At 39.6% G+C, this 3,674-nt stretch overlaps 1 annotated feature.

Moving 5' to 3' along the window:
- Nucleotides 961-2,222: an enhancer, noted in NCBI's record as "VISTA enhancer hs1114". NCBI's record gives its function as "enhancer in: neural tube[4/6] | hindbrain (rhombencephalon)[6/6] | midbrain (mesencephalon)[6/6]" and the evidence as "EXISTENCE:transgenic organism evidence [ECO:0001131][PMID:17130149]".

Genomic DNA, 3,674 nt, shown 5'->3' on the forward strand with positions numbered 1-3,674 from the left:
CTGTTGTTACGTAGTTGCCCTCATCACAATATTCTATTTATTTGTGCATAGTCCTTCCTTTTTTATTTCCTAAAGTGAAAAAGCTTATTAAAACGAAAGAAATTTGAATTGTGTTTAGAATTCAGAAGAACTCCTGGAATCACTTTTATTAAGTAGACTCTGCTGTATCAAAAAGAGAAAGGATGAAAATTTTCATATTGACCACCAGGAGTTACAATGAGCATTCTGTAGCTCTGAGAACAATAGCTCTAAAGAAAAGTAGCCAGGAAACTCCATGATGCTTTATCTCACTCAGCTATAACAATTTGTGAATCCTCATTAATTGTCTAACAATGTTTCACGAATCTTGAAAGTAACTGAAATAAAAGGGTTCATTAGTGTGTGCTTCATAATGAGAGAAACTCAATTTTCAGAACACAAGAAGGGAACTATTCTTTTTGTTCTCTTTAGGTGTCAGGAGGTCTAGGGAACAGAAAGAACTGTCTATAGCAAAATGCAAACGGATTTGGGACTTTTTTCTCAGTCTAAAAAATCTTGGTAGCAATAAAATGGGGGTGGAGAGAGAAAAATCTAAGCAAAACCGATTCATGTGGGAAAGCAGAAACTTGTATGTCTATTCTGTTTTTTTCTCCATATGAGGGAACTTTTATGTTTTATTTTCACACTAGATTATTGGGGTTTGGGGAAAAGTACTGTGTTTAATATTCCCAATGCCTAGGGCAGAAACACAGTAGGTGCTCAATAAATGTAGATTTCAATTAAATAATTGTATAGTTAATGACTGTTTTTTGGGAAAAATTGTGTAGTATAATTGTATAGTTGATGACTGGTTTTGATGGGAAAAAAATCTAAAATCTAAGAGAGGTGACAGATATGGTAGGAAAAAAACATTGGCTATGTAAAACGACAGGTCTTAGGGTGTTGTTGAGTTTTACATTTTTGGGCATGCAGGACATAGGCCCAGCAATGGGGAATATGAGTATATGTGCACATGTACAGCACCATGCAGATGGGTCATATATATCCCAAGCTTTGGCCTAGCAACTCCTAGACTCTATAGCTTAAGTCCTGTTTTTTTTCTGGTAGTCTCAGCACCCCCTTCTCTTTTGTTGCCTTTGCCAGTGACATGGAACTTTATTCCTGCATTTTGTTTTCAACTTTTCTTTTCAAACAACCTCAGGGAGTCCAGGTATAAAAAAAGAGGAGGACCCTAAGAGCTGTTCTGGCCCACTGGGAGCAGGATTTTAACTTCCCTTCTTTCTGGCCCCAATTCATAACTTTTTATTTTTGTTCTTGGTGCCCCCTTCTTTATAAACCCATTCAGCAATTTTTTTAAAAAAAATTATACAAATTCAATGTGTGTGTGGATTTTGGGTGGGCTGTGGAAATTGATTTACGAGTCAACCACTTTTCTCTTTTCTTGCCATCTCCCGCTTGAGTGGTTTGTCGGCCCTGGGGCCTTTCTTTCACTCGAGGAGAATAAGGTTGTCTATGGAAGAGGTCAGCATTTCAAATTGGTGGAGTTCAACTGCACAAATGACATAGAACTGACAAGAAAAGACAGGGGGTTTGGAGGTCACAGACTGCATAGGTCTCGCTTAGGGTTTTTGCTTTGTGATGAACCCTGTCACCAAAATGAATTAAATAACAGGCTTAAGGACTATTGAGGGAGGACTGAATGCAAATCAAAGATAAGTAGAAGTTTTCTTTCCTAAAAGGGGAATGATTTTTTTCCTTCCCTCTCCCCTTCCATATCTGTGCCGGCAAGAGCTGCATGTTAAACATGATTTCGCTGGCATTATGCTGGGCGCTTTCACTCCAGGCTGCTGCGATGGCCTATCTTGGCCTATGATTAATGACCTGCTAGGCAATTTGGAAACCATAATAACTCCACGGTTCACACACAAACTATATAGTCGCATTCCTTTTGCAGATTTGCCAAGCTGTTACCAAGGGGCCCGCAGAGGAGCCGGATTGTTGGAGAGATAGGGAGGCATTTCTGCAAATGCCATTCGGGCCTTATCTTGCTGAAAAGTGCAATGAGCGGCAGGCTCATTTAGAAAATTCAAAGCGTAGATCTTGCAGCTTCTTTATTTAAGCCCAGATTAGGGAAAACAAAACAAAACAAACAAAAATGGCTCCAAAAAAAAATGGGCTGGTAAAAATCAATCTCTCTGTATGGTCTCCAGGCTCTGAGTGATTCCAGAGACAGCACAGTGGTATTCCCAAATTTTGAATTGGATTCATCAAGGTCTAATGATAGTAATGCCTCTCAAAACAAAGAGTAGATTTTTGAAAAACCTAGGCAGAGACAAAGGCTCCGCTTAAAGTTTTGCTCTTTGGAACTATTTGTGCACACACTTCTAAACAGTAAAATTGTTTATTAGAGTGGAAGGGCATTGCACTGGGAGTCACAGAGTCTGGGTCTAGTGCTGGGTCAGTCGCTGCACTGCTCTGCGACCCCGGATGCATTTCTTCTCCTCTCTGGGCTGCAGTTTTCACATCAGTTCAATGAGAATGTTGGATTTAGAAACAATCTAGCAGGCTTTTTCTGGCTTGAATTTTCATTTATGTTGCGGATATTTATTGAGCACTCACCATGTAGTTAGCACTCTTCTAGGCTCTTGAGATATTTAGAGAAGAAAGCAGACAAAGTTCCCTGTGCCCAAGGAGCTCACACTCTAGAGGGGTGAGACAATCATTGACAATAACAATAATTTAATAAGGAAATTATATATGTTAGAGGATAATAAGCACTATGGAAAAGAAAATACTTGGACAGAATAAGGGGAAATAGGAATGGTATTAGGTGGAGGTTGGGGACAGAACAAAGTCAGAAATATGGTGGTCAGTGAGATTTGACAGTGACCTGAAGGAGATGAGGGAGTCAGCCAAGCATATATCTGACAGAGAAGCATTCAGGCAAGGAGAACATTTCTAGAGCAAAGGCCCTAATGGTCTATAAGACCACTGATGCTGTCGTTTTCTGTGACTAACTGGCTCTCAGTCACTTAGCTAGCTGATGGTGACTTTATCACCCAGCCTTGTGGTTTTCAACCTTGGCTGCATGTTGAAAGCACACAGATAATTAGAAAAATAAAACTCCTGGGTCCTACTTCCAGAGATTCTGATTTAATTGGTGTGGGGCGTAGCCTGGGCATGGAGGGCTTTCAAAGCTCCCAGGTGTTTCTTCTATGCAGTCAAGGATGAGAAACACTCAACCTTGGGAGCAGTGGGTCAGCTCCACCATAACATTTCTGGGAGCTGTTTGTCACTAAGAAAGCTGACCTTACAATGCACACAGTCAAGCCAAGTAACTGTCATCAAGTTCCCAGGCATTATCTCATGAAGAACCTTCTATGCACTAGGTTCTATGCACAGTACTCATCATGCAAGATAATCCATGCCAAAATATGGAGGAGATGGACATGTGAAAAACATTTTTCACAAAGAAAAATGTTTGGTACGGAGCACCAAAACTTGTAAGATGCTAACGGCCAGTTTCTCTCACACATAACTCATTCAAATGACACTTCCTTATGTTTGTCATATTCATGTAATATTGAATCATGCTTTTCACTTAATTTCTTACTTTACTCTTGTCCTAGTCAATAGTACCTGTAAAATTACTTGTTTGTATGTTATATGTCACAAATTTGATATGTACTTTATAT

The sequence above is a fragment of the Homo sapiens genome, chromosome 12 (assembly GCF_000001405.40).
Source record: "Homo sapiens chromosome 12, GRCh38.p14 Primary Assembly".
Taxonomy (NCBI): domain Eukaryota; kingdom Metazoa; phylum Chordata; class Mammalia; order Primates; family Hominidae; genus Homo; species Homo sapiens.